The sequence below is a fragment of the Homo sapiens genome, chromosome 20 (genome assembly GCF_000001405.40).
Source record: "Homo sapiens chromosome 20, GRCh38.p14 Primary Assembly".
NCBI classification, from domain to species: Eukaryota; Metazoa; Chordata; class Mammalia; order Primates; family Hominidae; genus Homo; species Homo sapiens.
Window position 1 is genome coordinate 49,002,717 of NC_000020.11, and position 27,952 is coordinate 49,030,668.

At 42.2% G+C, this 27,952-nt stretch overlaps 1 protein-coding gene across 3 annotated transcripts in view; it reads left to right on the top strand.

The window, feature by feature from the left end:
• The window catches only part of ARFGEF2 (ARF guanine nucleotide exchange factor 2), a 114,983-nt gene that overhangs the window by 81,006 nt on the left and 6,025 nt on the right, over positions 1 to 27,952 (top strand). For all 3 annotated transcript variants that reach the window (NM_006420.3, NM_001410846.1, XM_047439832.1), the window contains 12 exons: positions 2,354 to 2,505; positions 7,516 to 7,688; positions 9,208 to 9,368; positions 10,848 to 10,978; positions 11,115 to 11,244; positions 13,564 to 13,699; positions 14,533 to 14,671; positions 14,780 to 14,834; positions 16,168 to 16,282; positions 20,335 to 20,465; positions 22,597 to 22,765; positions 25,814 to 25,952. In NM_006420.3, the coding sequence (NP_006411.2) occupies positions 2,354 to 2,505; positions 7,516 to 7,688; positions 9,208 to 9,368; positions 10,848 to 10,978; positions 11,115 to 11,244; positions 13,564 to 13,699; positions 14,533 to 14,671; positions 14,780 to 14,834; positions 16,168 to 16,282; positions 20,335 to 20,465; positions 22,597 to 22,765; positions 25,814 to 25,952 (1,631 nt within the window). The remainder of the gene's footprint in view (positions 1 to 2,353; positions 2,506 to 7,515; positions 7,689 to 9,207; positions 9,369 to 10,847; positions 10,979 to 11,114; positions 11,245 to 13,563; positions 13,700 to 14,532; positions 14,672 to 14,779; positions 14,835 to 16,167; positions 16,283 to 20,334; positions 20,466 to 22,596; positions 22,766 to 25,813; positions 25,953 to 27,952) is intronic.

Here is a 27,952-nt window from a genome sequence, read left to right on the forward strand (position 1 = left end):
TTCTCTTGCCTCAGCCTCCCAAGTACAAGCAATTCTCCTGCCTCAGCCCTCCCAAGTAGCTGGGATTATAGGCACCCACCACCATGCCTGGCTAATTTTTTGTATTTTTAGTAGAGACACAGTTTCACCACATTGGCCAGGCTGGTCTTGAATACCAGACCTCAGATGATCCACCCGCCTCAGCCTCCCAAAGTGCTGGGATTACAGGCGTGAGCCACCACGCTTGGCCCAATTTTTATTTTTTTAACTTTTTTTTTTTTTTTTTTTTTAGAGACGGATCTTGCTCTGTCACCCAGGCTGGAGTGCAGTGGCACCATTTTGGCTCACTACAACCTCTACCTCCCAGGTTCAGGCAATTCTCCTGCCTCAGCCTCCCCAGTAGCTGGGACTACAGGCATATGCAACCACGCACAGCTAATTTTTGTATTTTTAGTAGAGACAGGGTTTCACCATGTTGGCCAGGTTGGTCTTGAACTCCTGGCCTCAGGTGATCCTCCCGCCTGAGCCTCCCAAAGTGCTGGGATTACAAGTGTGAGCCACCACACCCAGCCCCAATTTTTCATTATTACAAATGATATTGCTGCATTCTATTAAAAATAAAACATTGGCCGGGCACGGTGGCTCATGCCTGTAATCCCAGCACTTTGGGAGGCTGAGGCGGTTGGATCACCTGAAGTCAGGAGTTTGAGACCAGCCTGGCCAACGTGGTGAAACCCCGTCTCTACTAAAAATACAAAAATTAGCCGATCTTGGTGGCGGGCACCTGTAATCCTAGCTACTCAGGAGGTTGAGGCAGGAGAATTGCTTGAACTGGGGAGGTGGAGATTGCAGTGAGCTGAGACCACACCATTGCACTCCAGCCTGAGCAACAGAGCAAGACTCCGTCTCAAAAAATAAAATAAAATAAAATAAAATAAAACATCAGGTCAGACCACATATCAATGAAATGGCTCACTTGGAGCAGGCCTCTGCAAGATATCCCCAGATCTCCTGGCAGGGGGTGTGGGTGGGAAACATTCTCTTGCTGTTTTTAGAGATTCTCCTTGAGAGAAAAGTCTGAAAAGCACCAGCCAAATATTTACCCATAACTCCAGTTCCTAAAAGTAGGCAAACCATAGACAAGTACAATTTTTAAGGAAATTGAAAAGCCTCAATAATTTTGCAGAAGTTTTGGAGATTGATGATATTTATTTTATAGTCATTTGCTTTAGATGACAGACATTGGGAAAGTGTGAAAAGGCTTTCCATAGACTGTAAAGGCTTTTGACCCTTCATATATATATATTTGGAGAAAATTAAATAGCACCTTGGGAGATGTTGTTTAATGGATATAGAGTTTCATTTTTTCAAGATGAAAAGAGTTCTCTGCCGGGCGTGGTGGCTTACTCCTGTAATCGCAGCATTTTGATTGAGGCGGCCTGATCACTTGAGTTCAGGAGTTCGAGACCAGCCTGGCCAACATGGTGAAACCCTGTCTCTTCTAAAAATACAAAAAAAAGTAGCTGGACGGGGTGGCAGGCGCCTGTAATCCCAGCTACTCGGGAGGCTGAGGCAGGAGAATCGCTTAAACCCAGGAGGTGGAGGTTGCCAGCCTGGGCAACAGAGTTAGACTTTATCTTAAAAGAAACAAGAAAAGAAAAGAGTTCTGATTGGCTTCACAATAGTATGAATGTATACTACTGAACTGTTCACTTAAAATGGTTAAGATGGTAGATTTTATGTTATGTATATTTTACAATTAGAAAAATTGGGTATAGTTGCAAGTTTAATAGCAAAAGAAAAAAAAAAGAAAAGAAAAAAATAGGTTGGGCGCGGTGGCTCACCCTGTAATTCCAGCACTTTGGGAGGCCAAGGCAGGTGGATCACCTGAGGTCAGGAGTTCGAGACCAGCTTGGCCAACATGGTGAAACCCCATCTCTACTAAAAATACAAAAATCAGCCGGCAGGCACCTGTAATCCCAGCTACTTGGGAGGTTGAGGCAGGAGAATTGCTTGAACCGGGGAGATGGAGGTTGCAGTGAGCCGAGATCACACCACTGCACTCCAGTCTGGGCGACAGAGCCAGACTCCATCTTAGAAAATAATAATAATAATAATAAAATGAAATTTAAAAAAGCAGAAAGTAGCACATTTTAAATGCATATTTAATTAACTATGCAATACTGATTTCGTCATTACACTTAAAATAAAACTGGACAGATCATAGCCAAGAAATAGCATTTTCTTTTCTCCTTAGGTGTGTTTTCCCTGAATGTTTGTTTTGAAGGTAGGCTGTCCATCTTTGCTGTTGAGAGACCCACGTCGGTCATTATTACACTATACCTGTTTCACATCAGTTCCTGTTCTTGTTCAGGTTGGCTGCAACCCTAATGAAGATGTGGCTATCTTTGCTGTTGACTCATTAAGGCAACTCTCCATGAAGTTTCTTGAGAAGGGTGAATTAGCCAACTTCCGTTTCCAGAAAGATTTTCTGAGGCCCTTTGAGCATATTATGAAGAAAAACAGGTATGTGTTTTGCTCTGGAAGACGCTTGGTCAAATTCCCCGTTGGGGCTCCCAGAAGCCCTCCTAACACTAACCACATGATTAATTTTTTTCCTCCCTTGTCAGTGGAAACAAATAGAATGAATAGACTGTGATTCACATCGATTTTCCTTAAACAAATCTCACTAAAATCTATGTGTAGCCTTTCCTAGGAGGACAGATGTCACCCTGCAACTTGTAGAAATATGTCGTGAACCGGCTGGGCACAGTGGCTCACACCTGTAATCCCAACACTTTAGGAGGCCGAGGCGGGTGGATCACGAGGTCAGGAGATCGAGACCATCCTGGCTAACACGGTGAAACCCCGTCTTTACTAAAAATACAAAAAATTAGCCGGGCATGGTGGCGGGCGCCTATAGGTCCAGCTACTTGGGAGGCTGAGGCAGGAGAATGGCGTGAACTCAGGAGGCAGAGCTTGCAGTGAGCCAAGATTGCGCCACTGCACTCCAGCCTGGGTGAAAGAGCAAGACTCCGTCTCAAAAAAAAAAAAAAAAAAAAAGAAAAGAAATATGTCATGAACCCCTTTTGGGGCTGGTTCTCAGGGAGATTAAAGGAAGAGCCACTGCAGAAGCATCCTCAAACCAGGATAAGAATTATGTGACCCATCACTTCTCCCCCAGGGAGGTCATAAAAGAGGTCAGGATACCGGGCCCTGTGAAGCAGCCGTACTGTTCATTTATTCACTCGGCCTGGACTTATTGAGACTTGCCATCTGCTAGGTACTATAAAGAAGACATTTTAAAATCCTGTGTTTGGCCGGGCGCGGTGGCTCATGCCTGTAATCCCAACACTTTGGGAGGCCGAGTCAGGTGGATCACCTGAGCAGGAGTTCAAGACCAGCCTGGCCAACATGGTGAAACCCCGTCTCTACTAAAACTACAAAAGTTAGCCGGGCGTGGTGGTGGGCGCCTGTAATCCCAGCTACTCAGGAGACTGAGGCAGGAGAATCGCTTGAACCCGGGAGGTGGAGGTTATAGTGAGCCAAGATCACACCATTGCACTCCAGCCTGGGCAACAAGAGCGAAATGCTGTCTCAAAAAAAATAAATAAAAATGAAATAAAATAAAATCCCTGTTTTCATTCAGCCTTAAATAGTTGCACCTGGGTGTGATGGGCATACAGGAGTTCATTATATATTACTCTACTTTTCTCTGTGTTTTAAACTTTCCATAATAAAATTTAAAAACAAATCTCTGTTTAATTCCAATAGAAAAACAAATAAATATCAGTGGTGGTAATGGGCTCTGAAGGACATTATATATATCAAGGTAAGGGGATAGGGATGGAAGCACTCTTTTATCCAGGGCAGCCAGCTAACATGTGTTTGGTAAGGGCACCCTTAGGAAAAGGCCTGAAGGAAGTCAGGAATAATCTGAGAGTGGCCATATGCTGCCTTGGCATGAGAATTATGAACAGGGAAGAGCAAAAGCAAAAGGCCCGTAGCAGGTAGTGCTTGGCATAGGTGGGGAGGCCAGTGTGGCTTGAATGGAGGGAACAAGGCAGGTAGTAGAAGGTGAAGTCCCTCCCAGTGGTGGCAGGGTGCCTAGCTCACATAGGAGCTGTCGGCCATTGTCAGCACTTTGGTTTGCTCTCTGTGAAAGATGGAAGCCGTTGGAGGTTTTTGTTTTTTTTTTTGACGGAGTCTCTCCTGACCTCATGATCCGCCCACCTGGGCCTCCCAAAGTGCTGGGATTACAGGCACGAGCTACCGTGGCCGGCCTGCCATTGGAGGATTTTAAGCAGAGAAGTGAAATGATCTGACATTTTAAAGGATCACCCTGCATTTATCCATGGAAAATGAGGACCATTAGGATGAGGTAGGAGGCCATTGTAGTTGTCCAGGTTTGGACCAAGGTGGGAGCAGTGGCAGTGATGGATTAGATTCTGTGCACATTTGGAAAGGGAATCTTACACCATGTGCTGATGAATTGGCCATGGAGCATAAAGGAAGAGATGTCAAGGATGACTTTTGGACCTAATTCCTCTTGTCTGCTATTCCCCTAAAAAGTGTACTTCAGATCAGCCTGGATCTTTTTTTTTTTTTTTTGAGACGGAGTTTTGCTCTTTTTGCCGAGGCTGGAGTGTAATGGTATGATCTCAGCTTACTGCAACCTTTGCCTCTTTGGTTCAAACAATTCTCCTGCCTCAGCCTCCCAAGTAGCTGGGATTACAGGCATGCACCACCATGCCCAGCTAATTTTGTATTTTTGGTAGAGATGGGGTTTCACCATGCTGGTCAGGCTGGTCTCAAACCCCTGACCTCAAGTGATCCACCTGCCTTGGCCTCCCAAAGTGCTGGGATTACAGGCGTGAGCCGCCACACCTGGTGTTGCTTTTTTTTTTTTTTTTTTTTTTTTAAGAAAATGGGAGCTCCCAAGCTGGATGCCAGAGCAGGCTGTTAGGGTAGTGAATAAAAGGGTACCAGAAAAGTTTCCTTGACATGTCTCTCTTTCTCCTAGTGTCTGTATGTCTGCTTTATTGCTCATTTTAAGAGAACCAAAATTAAACCCAGAGTCTGGCATCACCCTTTACTTTAGCAAATACACAAAAGTATTTTCCTACCTTTAGGAACACCATTGAGAGTGCCTGAGGAGACTGAGTCCTCACATGGCCAAGCCACGTGTGCAAGCCTAATTGCACGGAAGCCCTCAACTCCTAACTCCAGGCCTTCCCTGCCTATCCTATTCCCATTTGAAAAGGGGCAGAGTGAGTTTAGAATCACATGTTGCCAGGCACTCTCAGATACTGTTGGTGGAACTGTAACTTAACTGTAACATTTCTAAAAGCATTTTGGTGATAAGTGTCAAGAATCCTGATATTTTTATGCCCCTTTGACTCAGTAATTCCACACTTCTGTAATTCTCCAAAGCAGTTAATGTGAAATATAGTAAAGCGTTATATGTCACAGAAAATAGTTTTCTAGAAAAAAACAAACTATCTAAATAAACAAGTGTTAAAGTAAATGTTGGTACCGGTACAACATGGGATATTGTTTTGCTGTTAAAAATGTTCACAATGTTTGGCCGGGTGTGGTGGCTCACACCTGTAATCCCAGCACTTTGGGAGGTCGAGGCAGGCGGATCACCTGAAGTCAGGAATTCGAGACCAGCCTGGCCAACATGCTGAAACCCCGTCTCTACTAAAAATACAAAAATTAGCCGGGTGTGGTGGTGTATGCCTGTAGTCCCAGCTACTCAGGAGGCTGAGGTAGGAGAATCACTTGAACCTGGGAGGTGGAGGTTGCAGTGAGCCAAGATCGCACCACTGCACTCCAGCCTGAATGACGAGAGAAACTCCATCTCAAAAAAAAAAAAGTTCACAATGTTTATAATGTGGGAAATGACTAATACTTTAGAGAAATGGACAGGTTATAGAATTGGACAGACAATATAATAGAGATAGTGAAACGTGTATCTCTCCATATGAAATACCATATATCATGTAAAGGTTTTTTTTTTTTTTTTTTTTTGAGATGTCTTGCCCTGTCGCCCAGGCTGGAGTACAGTGGTGCAATCTCGGCTCACTACAATCTCTGCCTCCCAGGTTCAAACTATTTTCCTCCCTCAGCCTCCCAAGTACCTGGAATCACAGGCGTGCATCACTATGTCCAGCTAATTTTTGTATTTTTAGTAGAGACGGGGTTTCACCGTGTTGGCCAGGCTGGTCTTGAACTCCTGACCTCAAGTGATCCACCTGCTTCGGCCTCCCGAAGTGCTGGGATTACAGGTGTGAACCACCATGCACAGGTAAATTTTTTTTTATCATACTTTTTCTGTATTTTCCAAAACTTTTACTATCATCATATCTTTCTTTTAACAATCAGGCAAAAAAACATTATAATAAATATAGTTTTGTCAACAAGTTGCTTTATTCTCCATGGGGAGACAACCATGAATTCATTTTTATTATATATTGGAAGTTACTTATGTTGTGTAGTCAGTCCTTTGTTATCTGCAGGTGACATGTTTACTTTGTGAACTTTCAGCTAATTTTTAACTGTTTTGACTTTCTCCTTGCCTTCTCTAAATGGCCTTTCCTGTTATTGGTTAGTGTGAGCCTGGAAGACAAACATGAATGTCATTCTAAGCCAGATAAAATTTGAAAGTCATGAGCCTGGGAGGCAGAGGTTGCAATGAGTCGAGGTCGCTCTACTGCATTCCAGCCTGGGCAACAGAGCAAGACCTTGTTTCAAAAAAAAAAAAAAAATTGAAAGTCAAACCTGTAGTCCCAAGGCCACTGTACTGACTTTTAAAGATAGTACTATCGAAGCAGTAGGCTTATATAGCTTTCCTTCTTGCTATTTGTGAGATAATAAGGTTCCTCCATAATTGTATGTCTTAACAGGTTGAGAGACAATTGCAGCTGTTCCAGAAAATCAGCCATTTTCTCTGTCTTCAGGTTTTACTTTATAATAATTTAGGTAAACATTGCACCTTAAACTATATATGTATACTCCAATCCACATATATGTGTTTATCACATAGGTATATCCCTACCCAAAAATCTTAAGAAGATACACACAAGAATTTAGTAATGATTATCTCTAGGTGGCAGAATTATATTATTTGAAATGTTTTTGGCCAGAAAAACTGACCAGCAGTGACTTAAACCACAAGGCTATTTATTGTTTTCGTAACAAGAAAGAAGTCAGAGGCAAGCATTCAACTTTGGTTCCATGGCCTGGATAGGGACCATTTATTTGAGACCCAGGCTTTTTCCTTTTGTTCTTCCATTCAGAGGGTCAGCTTCTCAACCTTGAGTTTATTGTTTCGTGATTGCAGGATGGTGGTTGTAGCTCTATGCAGCATGCTAGGTTTGGAATGGAAGTGAGAGGAAACGGGGCAGAGCCCAAATGTGGATTGCTGTGTGCTATAAGAAATGTTTAAGTGCTGCTTCTAAGGGATGAGCTATGTTCATTTCTCTTCCCATTCTCCAAAGTACAGACGATATGGCCGTCCCATTCTTTCCTCAGGTCTCCCACCATCCGGGACATGGCGATCCGCTGCATTGCCCAGATGGTGAACTCCCAGGCGGCCAACATCCGCTCAGGTTGGAAGAACATCTTTGCCGTGTTCCACCAGGCAGCCTCTGATCATGATGGGAACATTGTGGAGCTGGCCTTCCAGACCACTTGCCACATTGTCAGTAAGTGGCTCTGTTCCCTCCCTACTAATGTCCCACCTGCAAGTCTAGAAGAGTGTCACTTGCTGTCTATTTTACTACCTACAGGGGCTTCCCTACCTTGGCTCTACTGTGATATAGTAATGTGCCAGGCCGTGTTGTAAGCGCTTGATGAGTATTAATCTTGATCTTAACTCTGTTTTGACTTTCTCCTTGCCTTCTCTAAATGGCCTTTCCTGTTATCAGTCAGTTGGGGTCCAGCAGATAAACGTGAATGTTATTTCAAGCCAGATGAAATTTGAAAGTCAAATCAATCCCAAGGCCACTCTAATGACTATGAAAGAATTACAGTCAATCCTCATTATTGGTGGATTCCGTGTGTATACTCACTAAAATGTATATACATTAATAACTCCACAACCAGTACTCATGGTGCTTTTGTGGTCATTTGCCAACATGTGCATGCACAGAAGAGCAAAAACTTGAGTCACCCAAGGCGCACGTTCCCAGTTGTGGTGGAAGAAGGTGGCACCCTGCCTTCTTGTTTGAGCTGTCATGACATAAACAAGTGTGCTTAATGTGGCCTATCGAGTGCCATGTTTTTTTACATTTTCGTGCTTTTTGTTGGTGATTTCACTGTTTAAAATGCCCCCCCAAGCATAGTGCTGAATGCTGGGTAGTATTCTACGTGCAGAAAGGCTGTGATGTGTCTTATGGAAAAAATATGTGTGTTAGATGAGCTTCCTTCAGGCATGAGTTACAGTGCTATATTGGCTGTGAGTTCGGTGTTAATGAATCAACAATATGTATTAAATAAGGTGTCTTTTCAACAGGAACACACATACAACAAGGTTATGTCTTGATCAGCTGATGAAAATGTTCTGACCAGAGACTTGCAGGAATCTAGTTCCTTATCTCCATATTTTCCCTAAGAGCCATGGTTCAGTATTCTTGAATTCAGTGTTTATGGCAACTTTATAGAATGTAACTATCAGGAATAATGAGAACAGACTATCTCATTATTTCCCCCATGTTACTAAAGAGGAAATTGAGGCACAGAAAAATAAATACAACAACTTGCCTGAGGACACACAGTTTCGATGTAGTGGAACCAGGACTTGCACTCGGGCAGTCGAGCCCAGAGTTAGTTTAGTGTCCCCCTCCTCTGGACTGACCAGGAGTCCTGGGTTCTGCCTGCGAGCACGTAACAAGATGTTTACTTCATCTCTATGGAAATTTTTAGGCATCGAGTTATCTTTGCACATAGTTGGCGTTCAATAAATGAATGAATTGATATTTGGGCCTTTACATCATTGCTTGAGCGCAGGAAGACTGTCTAGCCCAAGCTGTACCCAGTGCATTCATTCCTGAGTAATTTAATAAGAAAAACTGTCTTCCAAAGATACTGACATGCTTTTCTTAGATTTTCACAGTTAATTATCTCTGATGTATGTGTGTGTGTGTGTGTGTGCACGCACGTGCATTTTTTCATCCCCATTTCTAAATCCTGGTCTTATGAAAAATGTGCCTTGTGTTCCCCCAGCAACTATTTTCCAGCACCATTTTCCTGCAGCCATCGATTCCTTTCAGGATGCTGTGAAGTGCTTATCAGAGTTCGCCTGCAACGCCGCTTTCCCTGACACGAGCATGGAAGCGATTCGGCTCATCCGCTTCTGTGGCAAATACGTCTCTGAGAGGCCTCGGGTTCGTTTTTCCCCACCTTACTCAGATGGGCAGTGAAGGGAAAAGGTCATGGAGCAGAAATTCTTGCTCCTAACAAAGAGCTTTCCAGCTACTCTTTTAGAAATGTGTGTTTGCCCTAAATTAGGTGTTTATTTCAAAATGCTGCCATGACAGGGAGTTAGGCCTTTTCATTATTTGGTATATGTGAAATTCTGTATTTTATTCATACTGAATCTATGGTATTCTACAAATTGTTTTTGTAGAAGTTAGTTGTATTTTAGCTTTTGTATTTTGGCAAAGCTCAAGAAGCTAGACGTTTCTATTTGAAAGAAAACAAACCTCCCTTGTAGGAAATGGCATTATGTCTTTGTAATGTGCCTGAGAAATCATATTTAAAAATCACCTTTTGTTTTCTCCTGAAAATGATGGGGTTTTTGTTTGTTTGTTTGTTTTTTTGATGTGTCTCATCTTTCTAAAGAGGCCTATTTGGTTTAAATGACAGAGTCCCAAAACACTGAAATAGGGTGAAAACAAGTCCATCTAAACTATGATGTCCTGTGTAGATCTCTACTTAAGTTTCCTTTACAGAAAGAGCTATAAACCTGTAAGGTGATATGTCTCATCTCTTACAACAGCTCACTAAGATGTGATGATAATGGGAGCCAATGTTGATTGAGCACTTAGTACTTGTTGGGCACCATTCTAGGTATTTTCTGTATGTTGATTCATTTAGTCCCCATGTCAGACCTATGAGATGTAATTATATCCCATTGTACAGGAGAGTTACTGAAGCACAGAGAGAAATTGCCTAACATTACATAACCAGAGTTGCTAAAGAAATTTCAGTACCACTTCAAGAGTGGTTACAGAGCAGAGGGGTCAAAATCCCAGAAATAGGGCAGAGAGTAGGGCTATACATGCAGACTGTAGAAAGACTGCCAGGTCCTAGCTGTATGACCTTGAGCAGCTTACTGAAGCTCTTGATGCCTCAGTTAATTCATCTATAACCTAGGACCATTGTTTCTACCTGCCACTTGGAATCCTTGTGAGAATTGTTAATCCATGAAAAGAACTTTAACAGTGCCTGGCCCATAGCAAGCACTCAGTCAATAGTAGCTGCTGGTATTATTTTAAGTAATGTGTATGACAGTAACATTCCAGAAAGACCTAAGATAATGATACATCCTGGATATTTTGTCAATACTATTTGACCTTTAAGCTCTTCTTAGTATAACACCTCCCACCCCCAGGACTCTTGTGATCTGCCCCCCTTCAACTTGTTCTAAAACCCGCAGAGGTCCATAGGTTTGTACTGGGAAACTGCTCATATGCCCTTTGGGACAGATAATGTCTTTGTGTAGTCTGTTCCCACTGTACCCTTGCTGAATGGAGATTTTTGGGAGAGAAAAATGTGTGGGGCCTTAATCTGCATATAGTTCCCTTTCAGTTCCTTCCTTTTGCATGCTTAGTTTACACCTGAGATGTGATTTTTCATCCTAGGTGCTACAAGAATACACAAGTGATGACATGAATGTAGCTCCTGGTGACAGAGTCTGGGTCCGAGGCTGGTTCCCCATCTTATTCGAACTCTCCTGCATCATTAATAGATGCAAGTTAGATGTACGAACAAGGTAACCATGTTCCCGTGCGGTGGCCCCTTACATCACTGAAATGAACCTCAGTCACTTGCTCACCTGACCCCACTCTCTTCTCTGTTGTTCTCTTCTCCACCATTCTCTCTTCTGTGCCTGACTTTGTTTCCTCCAGGGGACTCACAGTCATGTTTGAGATCATGAAGAGCTATGGCCACACCTTTGAAAAGCACTGGTGGCAGGACCTGTTCAGAATCGTGTTTCGGATTTTTGACAATATGAAACTCCCTGAGCAACTGTCAGAGGTAGGTGATAACTACAGCACTGCCCTAGGTATGATGGAGAGGAAAGCCTTTCTGGCCGGTATTTGCCTCTGGGGGCTGCATCATCGTCTACCCAGAGTTCTTAAATACTGAGCAACTTAAGGTTTTAAAAATGGAAACACCTTTCTGATACTCTCCTACCAGTATCAGCTAGTCCTGAGTGACTCTCCCCATGTTCAGAAGAATGAGAGGAAATACATCTCTGTGGTCTGCTGCTTGGCCCTCAGGCATTGCACCTTCCAGTTCAGCAGGGCTCCTGACTGGTCGTTGTAGTTGTTTTGTTCATATCAACCTCTGAGCAGTCAGAAAGTGGAATGTCTCTGGCCCCTTAAGGGTTTTTAATGAAGTTGCATTTGGAGATGATGTTGAATATTAAGCCTTTTTTTTAAAAGGAAGTTTGATGCCTGTAGGTATTTTTATTTGTCCCTTAGAGGTACAGGGATAGTGAAAGGGTATTCTAGGCTCAGGATTTTTAGATGGAAAAGTAACCTTTTTATTTCTTTTGGGAACACCATTCCTTCTCTCACCGCAACATAAAAGTGACATATGCTTAATATGGAATATTAGGCAAACACAAAAAAATTCTTCCTTTTACCATCCAAAATTAGAGTTAATGTTTTTGCAAAATTTTCTCCATCTTCTACATGGTTTAAATATGATTCGGAGGCCAGGCACAATGGCTCATGCCTATAATCCCAGCATTTTGGGAAGGTGAGGTGGGAGGATTACTTGAGGCCAAGAGTTTGGGACCAGCCTAGGCAACATAGTGAGACCATATCTCTTAAATAAATAAATAAATATGGTTGAGGTCATAGTATAGATAGAGTTTTCTAATCTTTTTAAATTTAAATATGTTTTTCCTCATTATAAAACAAGTAGAACTACAGAACACAGACAAAAACAAAGAAGAATTTAAACACTCACAGTTGCGGTTTTTCATAGGCAGCCACCGTTAAGACCTTCAAGTGTTGCTTTCATCTGTGTGTCCACCCACACATGCATTTGTGATCCACTTTTTTCTTCTATGAAAATAGAATTCCAACACACGTATATAAACTACTTCTTAAACTTAATACATGAGTATTTTTTCGTAGCCATAACTTTTCTTCTAGAATGTTTTGTTTGTTTGTTCCTTTGCTTTGTTTCGTTTTTTTGAGACAGAGTCTTGCTCTGTTGCCCAGGCTGGAGTGCAGTGGTGTGATCTCGGCTCACAGCAACCTCTGTCTCCTGGGTTAAGCAATTCTCCTGCCTCAGCCTCCCAAGTAGCTGGGACTGCAGGCTAATGCCACCATGTCCAGGTAATTTTTGTAATTTAAATAGAGACAAGATCTCACCATGTTGGCCAGGCTGGTCTCAAACTCCTGACCTCAAGTGATCCACCCGCCTCAGCCTCCAAAGTGCAGGGATTACAGGTGTGAGCCACCACACCCAGCCTTTCTTCTACAATGTTGTTTTAATAATGGCTACAAAATAGTCTTAGTTGTGGATGTTCCACAGCTTATGAACATTTAGGTTGCTTTCCGGTTTTTCTGGACAGCACTGAAATGAACATTTTTTGCAGCTACACTTCTAGTGGTGGTGTTTTCTTCTTTAAAGACAAGTGGCCCAACTGCCAGGTTTGGGGCCTGCGTATTACTAAGCCTTTTGATACGTACCACTAAGCTGACCTGCAGATATCTCTGTAGCCATTTACACTTCTGTCAGCAATGCATGAGAGTTCCTATTTCTCCATATTCATTCCAGGTCTTCTCATTTTAATTTGTTTTAGTCATTGCTAATTTGATAAGCCAACTGTATCACATTGAAAAAGTGTTTCAAACTGCTAGTGAGGTGGCATATTTTCTCTCATAGGATTGATCATTCTTAAGAATTGCCTTTTATGAATTCTTTTATGAATTACTCTTAGCTCATCTACTGGATTATTCATCTTTCTCCTATTGATTTATGCATTTTTAAATATATAAATAATGTAGCATATGCATACATGAGTTGCAGATGATTTGCCCACTTTATTATTTCCTTTTCATTTTGGAAAATTTAGCTTTTAAGTAACCAAATCTATGCGTTTTTTATTTATTTTTTTATTCCACTTCTGGCTTCCACTTTTGGCATCATTACCATAATTTTATAAAGATCCCTCTGTATATCCTCTGTACATATGAATGTATTAACATTTTTAAGACGTATTCTTGATACATATCACCAAATTGCTTTCTACAACAGTTTTGCCAGGAGTGTACAAGAATGCCCATCTCACTGCAGGGAGAATAGCTTTTAAGTGTCATCTTTTTGTTTTCCCAGAAATCTGAGTGGATGACAACAACCTGCAATCACGCACTTTATGCTATTTGTGATGTTTTTACCCAGTTTTATGAAGCTTTGAATGAAGTTCTTCTTTCTGATGTATTTGCACAATTGCAGTGGTGTGTCAAACAAGGTACTCTTTAAGCCTCTAGGCATCATTTTTCTTACATAGTCTTTAATGAGAGGTTAGTTTTTTCAATATTTAAAAGCATGGATGTAGTGCCATGGAGTACAATATATAATTTAGTTGGTGAAATGTATACGTTTTAATTACAGTATAAAAAACAGTGCCCCCCCCAAGTCAGTTCATAAAGCATTTCTTAAAGATGGGATATAGTTATTTTTGTATTCTACAAGATGTACCTTCATGTATTATACTGTTCTTTTTACTTTTGTATATGTTTGAAATTTTCTCTAGTAAAATGTTTTTAAAATGTATTGTTTCAGTCAAGATCAACAGCTTCATCAACAGACAATTATTTTAGAGTTTGTCAGGAAAAATACCCAGCTAGCACATTAGAACTGGATTCCATAGATAATTTTGGCTTAGGGCAAGAAATTTAGTTACATTTTTGAAAAAGTGACTTAATTTTAAAATAAATGACAAAACATTTGATATTGTTCAGGTGGCAAAAATTGGAAATGTAATGTATGAGTGACTAAATTTTTGAAAACCTGGTCTAATGTTTTCTCTCTTCTATTACCATTTTTCATACATGAGCCACTTAATTTAAAGTAGCAAAATGTTGACCTTTCTTCTTTAGCAATAAAACTATGATAAACAATTTTAACTCTTCAAAAAAATTTTAATAAAAATTTTAATACTGTCTGTAGCATGGCTTCATTAATTAAAAGCCTAGAAACTCACCAGTTGCTGTCTCCAACTCACAATATACAGTATTTGAGACCTGGTTGGCATCAAAATAGCAGTAGAAGTTTAATGATAGATACTGCTTTATTTTACAGATAATGAACAGTTGGCGCGATCAGGTACAAATTGCTTAGAAAACTTAGTAATATCCAATGGAGAGAAATTCAGTCCTGAAGTCTGGGATGAAACCTGCAACTGTATGTTGGATATTTTCAAAACAACCATCCCACATGTGTAAGTGTTCATGCAGTTGTTCCCGTTTATCTCTGTGTTCAGTGGATGTCTTAAAGCTCCTGATTGCCTTTCACATTGATTATTTTTTTTCTCTATTTTTTTCTTCAGTTTGCTGACATGGAGACCTGTAGGAATGGAGGAAGATTCATCAGAAAAGCATTTGGTAGGATTTGGGGTTTTTCTTTGGTTGTCTTTTCTTTTTTCTATCTTAGTAAAAGATCAATAAGCCTGTATAGTTTGTACTTTTTTTAATGGGAAGTGAGTAAAATTATAAGATCTAAAAATAGTATATATTCATAATATATTTTTTAGAAAGTCCAGAAAAGCATTAAGCAAATAAGTAACCTCACCAAGTAAAAAGCACAGTTTACATTTCTAGCTGCCGCTTTGTGTGACCGTGCATGCCTAGGAAAACCAGCCATATTTGAAATGAGGGATCAGTTAGCATATAACAACATCTGAGCATTTTTCCATATTTTAAACGGTTCTTTGAGAGCAGTCTTTTCAGTGGCTGCATAGTATTATAATTTCTTTACTTCTCCCTTATCGGACTCTCAGGTTAGTTCTAGGCTTTCAACATTGTAAATAGTGCTTTGGCGTAACTGTGCTTGTTTGTTGCCCTCCTAAATTAATAGTGCTTTCCTCTTCACCAAAGAAGTGGTAGTTCTTACTTTTTGTGTGAGTCCACATAAAGAAGTTTTAATTCAGATCTCACTTTTAAATACTTTGGTTTACAGAGAGGAGTTGAATTAACTTTTATTCCTAAGTGACTCTAAGACCATTAGATTTTAAAAAGCATTTGGGATACAGCAACTGTCTTCTGCTGTTAAATTTTTTTATTTTTTATTTTATTTTATTTTTCTCGAGACAGAGTCTCGCTCTGTCCCCAGGCTGGAGTGCAGCAGTGCGATCTCGGCTCACTGCAACCTCCACCTCCTGGGTTCAAGCGATTCTCATGCCTCAGCCTCCCGCCAAGTAGCTGGGATTACAGGTGCCCGCCACCATGTCCAGCTAATTTTTGTATTTTTAGCAGAGATGGGGTTTCGCCATGTTGACCAGGCTGGTCTTGAACTCCTGACCTCAGGTGATCCGCCTTCCTTGGCCTCCCAAAGTGCTGGGATTACAGGCATGAGCCACTGTGCCTGGCCTGTTGTCAACTTTTTAAAAAACTAGTTACTGCACTAGTAATTTATCTTTGAACTTGCTCGCATAAAAAATTTGTCACACTTATTGTTAAATCCTAATATGTAGAGAAATGTCCTCTGGGTTGGAATAGGAAAATAGGGAATTTTAATGGGAGGAGAAGTAATTTAAATTCTTAATCTCTCCATTGCAGCCTGTGAGGCATGCTACATTAAGCATGTAGTATCATTTTATTTTGAGCTAAGCAAGGCACTTAAATACAGGCTGGACCAGCCGTGTTAAAACAGGCACATCTCTGCCCAAATTATCATGAAGAAAAGTGAGCATTGTGTTTCCCTCTGGTTTACATTTAGGATGTGGATCTGGACCGCCAGTCTTTAAGCAGCATAGATAAAAATCCCTCTGAGAGGGGACAGAGCCAGCTCTCTAACCCAACAGATGACAGCTGGAAGGGTAGACCATACGCAAGTAAGGCCACTTTTTAATTTGTTTTAAATAAGTAACATGTTTATGTGATTCATATATTCAGAAGGCACAAAAGGGTAAACATGATAAGCCTTCTTCTGCCCTGTGCCTCAGTCTGCCAGTTCTCTGTAGCAGCCAAGGTTACCTGTTTCTCTGTACCTTTCCAGAGTCATTTTATCCATGTGCAGGCAAGTACATGCACATATACATTCATATACATACATATATAGTACATACGAATTTTCTCCTTTTACCAGTTATGGAATAGTACATTCCATATACATTGACATATACATTCACACACATACATATATAGTACATATGAATTTTCTCCTTTTACCAGTTATGGAATAGTATGCCTTATTCTTTTTTCAGTTAATATATTTTAGAGATCATTCAAAATCAGTACATAAGGAGCTTTCACGTTGTTTTATACGATTGTCTATTATTCCAGTTTGTAGACATGCATTTATTGCTTAATTGAGTTGCTCTTAACAGACATTTATATTACTTATAATCTTTTGCTGTTAGGAGCAATACTGCATTGAATAACCCAATACATATGTCATTTGTGAATTTATGTAATAAATTCCTAAAAATGTACTGGAGTCAGTGGATAAGTGAATTTGCCATTTTTAAATATTTCCACATTGCTATCTATTACATTTGTAGCTGTTTACGTGATCTTTTTAGATGAAATACAACTTTGGACTAATTTAACTTGGAATTTTCAAATTATGAGTCAAATTGAATAGTTTTTCGTATGTTAAAGCACCACTTCTGTTTTCTTCTCTATGAACTCTGTAATCTTTGCTCATTTTCTGTTGATTGTTGGCCCCTTTTTTATTGGTTTGGAGGAGCTCTTATGTACTAGAAATCCTTTTTCTGATATGAGTTTCAAATTATTTTTGCCAAATTGTCTCTTAATGTTGCTTATGATGTGTTTTACTGTCATTTAAAAAAATAAGTTTAACAGCTGTCATGTACCAGGCACTGTACTGTGTGTTCCATGTGTATTGTTTCATGTAATCCTCATAGTAGCCTTTGAAGAGGTACTGTCTTACGTTTGAGGGAACTGGGGCTTAGACAGATCATAGAACTTGACAACATGTAGTAGAGTGGGGATTCAGACACATTTTTGGCAGCCTGAGGAATGGGAACTTGTGAAGGTTGTTCTGGTCCTTTGAAAGTTGTGTGCCCCATTGTTTGCCTTTATAGCAGTCCCACCCTGTCCTCAACATGCTAGGCCATAGCTGTTAACATTGAAGTTAACTTCTGAAGCAGCACATTTGACCAAAACAGTGTGCGGTCACCTTTTTCTTTAGAAGGAATAAAAGTAGTCACCCTTGAAATTCATTAAAGAGGTATCGTGTTGGGACTGGCATGCTGTCTTTCACTAACTGCTGCAGCCAGCTTCTCTCCAATGCCCAGTGATAGAATGATACCTTTTTCATTTTCTCTTTTTTTAGAGACAGGGACATACTCTGTCTCCCAAGCTGGAGTACACTAGTGCAATCATAGCTCATTGCAGCCTTGAACTCCTGGGCTCAAGCAATCCTCCTGCCTCAGGCTCCTGAGTAGCTGGGACTATAGGCATGTGCCACCACATTCGGCTAATTATTTTATTTTTTGTAGAGATGGGGTCTCACTTTGTTGCCCAGGCTGGTCTTGAATTCTTGGACTCAAGCCATCCTCCTGCCTTGGCCTCCCAAAGTGTTGGGATTACATGCGTGAGCCACCATGCCCAGGCTCTTTTTCTTCACGAGCTCCAGATAAAGTAGTTAGTTTCTGTGTGGAGGCCAAGTATACATTTCTTTCAATAGGAGAAGCACTCTCCGTGCAGTGAGAGTCTACACTCTGAGAAGTACCTAGGACTCAATCCACCTCCCATTCCCCCAGGGAACAGTGCCTTTGCTGCTCCCAGTCTCCCAGCTCAGCCATAAGCTCAGGCAGACAAAAATCTTTGCACTATTATTATCGTTTCCTTTTTATTTTTGGCCCAAAATGTTTTAATTGACTTGGCATAAGTTGAATGTACATCTTCTGGAACTCCACTGTATTAAAAAAAAAAATTTAAAACAATCTACATGGAGAATTGTTACGTGTTTTTATAATTTCATAACTGGCGAGGTGCAGTGGCTCACACCTGTAATCCCAGCACTTTGGGAGACCAGGACCAATGGATAGCTTGAGCCCAGGAATTTGAGACCAGCCTGGGCAACATGGTGAGACCCCATCTCTAAGAAGAAAAAAAAAATTTTTTTTTTAATGAAAAAAATGAAAAAATAATTTCACAGCCACTTTCAAAAACTTAAAGACAACTCAACCTCCTTGTTTTCTATCACTGAAATATTTAATGTTTTCAACATTCTGATTTTATAAAATAAGTTGGGAAAGGAATCTCTACTGTTACTGTAGACAAACCAGTGAACACTTATGATGTATTTGACATGGGCCACCCTTGGGCCCTCAGGGATTGAGAACACAAAGAGGATATAGTTAGTCTACTCAGTAAGCAGAAACCACACCGCTAATTTGAACAGGGAAAATTCAATATTAAGAATTGTTGGGGCCGGGCGCGGTGGCTCACACCTGTAATCCTAACACTTTGGGAGGCTGAGGCGGGCAGATCATGAGGTCAGGAGTTCAAGACCAGCCTGGCCAACATAGTGAAACCCCATCTCTATTAAAACTACAAAAAAAATTAGCCGGGCATGGTGCCGGGTGCCTGTAGTCCCAGCTACTTGGGAGGAGGCAGGAGAATTGCTTGAACCTGAAGGCGGAGGTTGCAGTAAGCAAAGATCACGCCACTGCACTTCAGCCTGGGTGACACAGCGAGACTCTGTCTCAAAAAAAAAAAAAAAAGAATTGTTGGCGAGGCACAGTGGCTCATGCCTGTAATCCCAGCACTTTGGGCTGAGGCGGGCAGATCACCTGAGGTCAGGAGTTTGAGACCAGCCTGGCTAAGATGGCGAAACCCCATCTCTCCTAAAATTACAAAAAACTAGCTGACACAGTGGCGCACACCTGTAATCCCAGCTACCAGCTACTTGGGAGGCTGAGGCGGGAGAATCACTTGAACCCGGGAGGCAGAGGTTGCAGTGAGCTGAGATCATGCCACTGCACTCCAGCCAGGGTGACAAAGCGAGACTCCGTCTCAAAAAAAAAAAAAAAAAAAAAATGTTAACTAGTCAAAGGTTGTTAACCACTAAGAGGAATAAAAGACCACTCTTAAGGGATACAGAAGTAGAAAATGCAGAAAGCAACAAAACTGAGCTTCTTGGCCAGGCAAGCAATGGCTCACACCTGTAATCCTAGCACTTTGGGAGGCCGAGGCAGGCAGATCGCTTGATATTGTGGCACAGGAGTTCAAGACCAGCCTGGGCAACATGAGGAAATCCCATCTCTATTTAAAAAACAACAACAACAACAACAAAAAAAAAAAACCCACAAGCTTCTGGCCTCTTCAGAGGGGCTGGCTACTGCAGGAACCTGAAACGTCCTCTGGTTAGGGCACAGTCCAGTGGTGGTCTTTAGGAGTAGCCCACTGGGTGGCAGAGAAACTTGCTGGAGGACACAGAACCTGCATAGCTGATTCCCTCACTTTCTTCAGGTCTTTGCTCAAATGTCACATTTTTATAGAGACTTTTCCCAACTAGTTTGCTTAAACGTGCAGTCCTACCCTGACACTTTCTATCCCTGTCTCTACCTATCATCAATATTTAATATATAATATTCTTAAAATATTTCATTTATTGTCTGTCAACACCATGGGAGCAGAGATTTTTTTTTGTCCAGTTTATTCATTGCTGTGCCACAACATCAAGAATTGTGCCTTGACTGGGTGTGGTGGCTCATGCTGTAATCCCAGCACTTTGGGAGGCTGAAGTGGGAGCATCACTTGAAACCAGGAGTTCAGGACCAGCCTGGAGAACGTAGTGAGACCCCATCTCTTAAAAAAATAAATCATGCCTTGCACATAGTAGGAGCTCAGTGGATATTTCTTCAGTATTGGCTGAATCATTATTAGGGTTAATCTTTATCATCTAACATAGATCAGAAACTGTTTGCCAGCCTCCTCATCAAGTGTGTGGTCCAGTTGGAATTGATACAGACCATTGACAACATTGTGTTCTACCCTGCGACGAGCAAAAAGGAGGATGCAGAGCACATGGTTGCCGCCCAGGTAAGAACAGGAGGCCTCAGGAAGAGCATCCCTGTCCATAGGGAGGTTGCTTTGATGTAGTGGTGTGCGGAAGCCAGCTTGTACTGGCTTTCCAGAGCCTGTCATGCTCATCTCTTTCCAACCTCACATTCAGTGATGGCATGTTGATGCTTAAAATTGGCCTTGATGGGAGTTATTTACATCAGAGAAAAACAGCAAACACTAAACATCAGGGCTTCATTTTTTTTATGTATATACCCCAGAGAGTGAGTTTATGAGCATACCACTGCTCAAATGCCACCCCACTAGTGTTAGTTATCACAGGAACTATTCCCCACAATTGATATACAGTTTTTTTTCTGGTTTTTTTTTTTTTGTTTTTTTTTTTGTTTTTTTGAGACGGAGTCTCGCTCTGTCGCCCAGGCTGGAGTGCAGTGGCGCGATCTCGGCTCACTGCAAGCTCCGCCTCCTGGGTTCACGCCATTCTCCTGCCTCAGCCTCCCGAGTAGCTGGGACTACAGGCGCCCGCTACCACGCCCGGCTAATTTTTTGTATTTTTAGTAGAGACGGGGTTTCACCGTGTTAGCCAGGATGGTCTCGATCTCCTGACCTCGTGATCCGCCCGCCTCGGCCTCCCAAAGTGCTGGGATTACAGGCGTGAGCCACCGCGCCCGGCCTGATATACAGTTTAATCACAAATAAGTGAGGAGGAAAAGATATATATAAAGATCCCAGTTTTTCCTTCAAGAATTTCGCTTTTTTTGTTTTCTATATGCAACTTTCTACATATGGGATTCTTTTCCTTTTTTTCTTTTTTTGGCGAGACAAAGTCTCACTCTGTCACCCAGGCTGGAGTGCAGTGGTGCAATCACAGAATCACAGGTAACTGGGGTTTCAACCTCCCAGGCTCAGGTGATTCCCCCATCTCAGCCTCTTAAGTAGCTGGGACTACAGGCACATGCCGCCATGCCCAGTTAATTTTTTACATTTTTTGTAGAGATGGGGTTTTGCCATGTTGCCCAGCCTGGTCTCAAACTCTTGGACTCAAGCAATCTGCCCACCTCAGCCTCCCAAAGTGTTGGGATTGCAGGCGTGCACCACCATGCCTGGCCTACATATCAGATTCTTGAAAACATAGAGAATTCAGTGTCCAAAAGTTGGACAGTTATCCTACACCATGGGTTACAAATGTCAGTGCTTCAGGGGCTAGCAGATCCTGTGAGAGTGAGTGAGTGAGGCAGGCTGGGTAAGGATTGTGGTAAACCAGAAATCTCTAGCCCAGTCAAAGCGGCTGCCACCTCTCAGCTTTAGCGCCCGATTACCATCCAAGTGGGTTAAGTTGTGACAGTTTCTCGTGTTTCAAGAGTAGCCAAAATCAAGATTTTTTTTCATAGAGGAAGTCATGTTTTAAATACTAGCAAAAGTAATGTAAATTTTATTACTGCTGGAAAAAATACAGCTGTGAGCCAGAGGCTGTCCTTTTGATTTTAAAATTTTAGGCAGCTTGTTCAGTAAAGTTTCCTAGGGTTTCATACATGTTTCAAGAATGCATTCCTGGGCTAGGTGCAGTGGCTCACGCCTGTAATCCCAGCACTTTGGGAGGCCGAGGCAGGCGGATCACGAGGTCGAGTCTGAGATCATTCTGACCAACATGGTGAAACCCCGTCTTTACTAAAAATACAAAAATGAGCTGGGCATGGTGGCGAGCACCTGTAATCCCAGCTAGTCAGGAGGCTGAGGCAGGAGAATCACTTGAACCCGGGAGGCGGAGGTTGCAGTGAGCCAAGATTGCGCCACTGCACTCCAGCCTGGGCGACAGAAACTCTTGTCTCAAAATAATAATAATAATAATAATTCATTCCTGTAATGAAATAATTGGAGACACACACACTCCTGCTTATGCAGTGGAGGCAGCACTGATGAAACTGAAACTTTGGCCAGCCAAGCCTGCCATCATGGAACGGCTCAGTGTGTTCCTTCACCAGCCAGTGAGCAGAGTCTAAATGGAAATGTTTCAGGGTGTTGGGGAATAAGTGTGTCTTATAGACAGGGATGACTTTTGGAGAGTCATGACTGCCGTTGTCTGCAATCACAATGCCCAGAGCATTCCATCTTCTTCATTAGCTCTTCTATCCTCTGTCCTGTCCTCTAGCAAGACACGCTGGATGCAGATATCCACATAGAGACGGAGGATCAGGGCATGTATAAGTACATGTCTTCCCAGCACCTCTTCAAGCTGTTGGACTGTTTGCAGGAATCCCATTCATTCTCAAAGGCCTTCAACTCCAATTACGAGCAGCGGACTGTCCTGTGGCGAGCAGGTAAGGCCACACAGCAGATAAGATAGATGGCCACACTGGTCACCTTCCTAAAACATTAAAGTGCTTGGAAAATGCCCAAAATTTTAAACATAGCTAGAATAACTTAACAGATATTTTCATGCTTGAGGGGGAGAGAAGGGAAATGTTGGATAGGTTTCATCCCAGTACATGGTAGATTCTCAGTACGTATTTGATAAAAAGACAAATTGAGGCCGGATGCGGTGGTCCATGCCTGTAATCCCAACACTTTGGGAGGCTGAGGCAGGCCTCAGCCAAGATCACTTGAGGCCAGGAGTTCGAGACCAGCCTGGCCAACATGGCGAAACCCCATCTCTACTAAAAATATAAAAATTAGCCAGGTGTGGTGGTGCAAACCCATAATCCCAGCTACTTGGGAGGCCGAGGCAGGAGAATCGCTTGTACCCGGAAGGCGGAGGTTGCGGTGAGCCGAGATTGCGCCACTGCACTCCAGCCTGAGTGACAGAGCAAGACTCCATCTGGAAAAAAAAAAAAAAAAGACAAATTGAAAGTTGGAGAATTGAATTGATCTAGCAAGTCAAAACATTTTATGGGCTGGGTGCGGTGGCTCACGCCTGTAATCCCAGCACTCTGGGAGGCTAAGGCAGGCGGATTGCTTGAGCCCAGGAGTTCAAGACCAGCCTGGGCAACATAGCAAAACCCCATCTCCACCCAAAAAAAAGTATATGAAAATTAGCTGGGCATTGTAGCACACACCATACTCAGGAGGCTGAGGTGGGAGAATCACTTGAGCCTAGGAGGTGGAGGTTGCAGTGAGCCAAGATTGCATACTGCACTGCAGCCTGGGTGACAGGGGGAGACCTTGTCTCAAGAAAAAAAAAAGAAATTTTACATTAAATTAAAAGTTAAATATGACATAAAAAGTGTGGTAGTCTAGGAAAAACAGAAACCATTCATCAATTTTCCAAGCCTTATATTTACTTTCCTACCTCCAAAAATAAATACAAAAACCCTGGAGGTAAATACATTTTTTTTCCAAGATGGTGGTGGGATTCTCATTATTTTGAACTTTGCATACAAGTGATACTTTATATAATTTTTGTATTGTTAATTTTTACCATTACTTTTTTTTTTTTTTTTTTTGAGGCAGAGTCTTACTCTGTTGCCCAGGCTGGAGTGCAGTGGCGCAGTCTCGGCTCACTGCAGTCTCTACCTCCCGGGTTCAAGCAATTCTCATGCCTCAGCCTTCCAAGTAGTTGGGTTTACAGGCACATGCCACCATGCCTGACTAATTTTTATATTTTTAGTAGAAACAGGGTTTCACCATGTTGGCCTAGCTGGTCTTGAACTCCTGACCTCAAGTAATCCACTCATCTTAGCCTCCCAAAGTTCTAGGATTACAGGCATGAGCCACTGCACCTGGCCTTGTTATCATTACTTTTTGTCCCCAAATATTTATTTTAACCCACAATTAAAGAATGTCATTTTTCTCTACAGCCTTAAAATATCCAGCTCTTTTATGCCTTTGCCTGTAATAAGATTTTGTTTGTGAGAGTCGTTTGCATATCTCTTAAGCTGATTGGTACTAGTTTGTTTTTAAGAATGTGTTCTTTTTTTTTTATTATTTATTTTTTTATTTTTTGGAGATGGAGTCTCACTCTGTTGCTAGGCTGGAGTGCAGTGGCGTGATCTTGGCTCACTGCAACCTCTAGCCTCCTGGGTTCAAGCGATTCTCCTGCCTCAGCCTCCCAAGTAGCTGGAACTACAGGCACGCACCACCACGCCAGTGGTCTCACTCTCTTGACCTCATGATCCACCTGCCTTGGCCTCCCAAAGTGCTGGGATTACAGGCGTGAGCCGCTGCGCCCAGCCTAGAATTCTTAAGAGCTGTTACATTTGAAAAGACAAAACTAATGGTTTCGCCAGCCAATAAGCAAAGTCTAAATGGAGAGCAGGCCAGGCAAGGTGGTTCACACCTATAATCCCAGCACTTTGGGAGGCTGAGGCGGGTGGATCACTTAAAGTCAGGGGTTCAAGACCAGCCTGGCAACATGGTAAAACCCCATCTCTACAAAAAATACAAAAATTAGTGAGGCGTGGTGGCGTGCGCTTGTAGTCCCAGCTACGCAGGAGGCTGAGGCAGGAGGGTAACTTGAGCCTGGGAGGTCGAGGTTGCAGTTAGTCAAGATTGTGTCACTGCACTCCAGCCTGGGTGACAGAGCAAGACTGTCTCAAAATAAAATACCAATAAATAAATGAAGAACAGTACAGGGCATTGAAAAATGAAGTTATCTTGTAATACAGAGGATGACTTCTGGGGAGTCGTAACTGCCTTCATCTGGTATCACAAACGATCTGTATTAAGAATATATATAAAATGTTTCAGGCCAGGCTCAGTGGCTCATGTCTGTAATCCCATTCCTTTGGAAAGCTAAGACAGGAGGATTGCTTGAGCCCAGGAATTTGAAACCGGCCAGGGCCACATAGTAAAACCCTCTCTGTACAAACACTAAAAAATTAGCTGGGTGCGGTGGCTCCCGTAATCCCAGAACTTTGGGAGGCCGAGGCAGGCAGATCACTTGAGGTCAGGAGTTCGAGACCAGCCTGACCAACATGGAGAAACCCTGTCTCTACTAAAAATACAAAAATTAGCCCGGCATGGTGGTGGGCACCTGTAATCCCAGCTACTAGGGAGGCTGAGGCAGGAGAATCGCTTGAACCTGGGAGGCGGAGGTTGCAGTGAGCCGAGATAATGCCATTGCACTCCAGCCTGGGCAACAAGAGTGAAACTGTCTCAAAAACAAAAAAAAATTAGCCAGGCATGGTGGCACACATCTATGTTCCTGGCTACTCAGGAGGCTGAGGCAGGAGGATCATTGAGCCCAGAAATTGGAGGCTGCAGTGAGCTATGATCATGCCACTGCACTCCAGCTTAGGTGACAGAGCAAGACTATCTCAAGAAAAAAACAGATGTTTCATATTTCATAAAATAACTAGATTTCTAGTCATACACAGTTATCAGCATTATCTTAGAAATGTGCACTAATTATATGACTGTCTGATCTCTAGGTTTTAAGGGCAAGTCTAAACCCAATCTTCTAAAACAAGAAACCAGCAGCCTGGCCTGTTGTTTGAGGATCCTGTTTCGAATGTATGTTGATGAGAACCGCAGGGATTCCTGGGAAGAAATACAGCAGAGACTTTTAACGTAAGAAAATTAGTTTCTGATTAGATTTCTATCTGCTATATACAAAATGCATCACAGCAATACTGTGGATTGAAAAGAGTAAGAGAAAAATACATGCTGACACTCTGACAAATTTTTTTTTCTTTCTATTTGGTGACTCTCCCATTTCACTTTTCTTAATGCCCTGAAGAGGGCAGAGCCTCATCTGTTTCACTGTTAAGCCCTTGCTTGAGCCCAGGAGTGGAAGGGTGCTGTGAGCTATGCATAGAAACATGGACAGTGAAAAGTGCTCCGAGCGGTCAGCAGGCTGGATGGAAGTCCTGACTGTGGCTAGAGCCCTGTGGCCTTAGGCAGGTTACTATCCCTCTTGGGACCAGGTCCTCTTTAGAATTGTTGTCAGCAATAACATCCCATCATTCCTTCTTTCCAAGAAGAGTGTAATTGAAATCATATAACCAGGATGTGCCTACAAAATTATCTAGAAATCCACCAATGGGGAGAGAGTGGAATACTGATGAGGAAGCCCCAGCCAGAAAAGTAGGTCTTTGTCACTCAGCTTCCTGGGCATCAGCAAGATTCTGATGCCTGAGCTTTCTTTTCTTCCTCTAAGGTATAAAAACAGTAACACACAGTGCTGGCAAATGTGTGGTAAGAATGCACTCTCCTGCGTAGCTAGTTGGAGTGTATAATGGCATGATCTTTCTGGAAAGTAGGTGAGACTATATACCAGGAGCCCTAAAGTGTTCATTCTCTGTGACTCAGTAATTCCACTGTTATGGAATCTGCTTCAGAAAATATTTTAGAAATAGGAACCAGGAATACCACATGGAATATTCACTGCAGACTTATCAGGAGAAAAAATTTTAAGCAGCTCAACTGTGGAATGAATAACTAAGCTGTAATATGTCCTAAATTATGATATTATGAAACATAGTCATTAAAAGTGAATTTTTTTTTTTTTTGAGACGGAGTCTTGCTCTGTCGCCCAGGCTGGAGTGCAGTGGTGCAATCTCAGCTCACTGCAAGGTCCACTTCCTGGGTTCAACCAATTCTCCTGCCTCGGCCTCCTGAGTAGCCAGGATTACAGGCGCGTGCCACCATACCTGGCTGGTTTTTTGTATTTTTAGTGGAGATGGGGTTTCACCATGTTGGTCAGGCTAGTCTCAAACTCCTGACCTCAGGTGATCTGCCGACCTCCGCCTCCCAAAGTGCTGGGATTACAGGCATGAGCCACCGTGCCCAGCCTAAAAGTGAATTTTTTTTTTTTTTTTTTTTTTTGAGACAGAGTCTTGCTCTGTCACTCAGGCTGGAGTGCAGTGGCGTGATCTTGGCTCACTGCCACCTCTGCCTCCCGGGTTCAAGTGATTCTTCTGCATCAGCCTCCCGAGTAGCTGGGACTACAGGCGTGTGCCATCACACACCTGGCTAATTTTTGTGTTTTTAGTAGAGACAAAGTTTCACGATATTGGCCAGGATGGTCTTGAACTCCTGACCTCGTGATCCCCCCACCTCGGCCTCCCAAAGTGCAGGGATGGGCGTGAGCCACTGCGCCCGGCCTAAAAGTGAAATTTTTAAGAAATAATTTTACTTAATGTGGGAACTTTTTCATAATACAATAATTTTTACCCCAAAAAAAGCTGCAAAAGTGTTTTTACTTGGAATTTTCAGCAATTGGGGCATTTTATTTGTTTTTTTAGAGTCAGGGTCTTGCTATGTTGCCTAGGCTGGTCTCGAACTCCTGGGCTTACGAGCTCTTCCTGCCTCAGCCTCCTGAGTAGCTGGGACTACAGGCGAGCAATTTTTCTTTTGAAATCTTAGCAAAAAAAAAAAAAACTGGAAGGAAATATGCCAAAATATTGTCATGTATCCCTTAGAATGATGTAGCTATTTTTCTTTATAATTTTTTTCATAATTTTTTACATATATCAGTTACCTTACAATGAGAATAACAAGTCATAAAGTGAAAAAAGAATTAATTAATTAAAGGAGGCACCAATGGCTCATTTCAGCTTAAGCCCAAA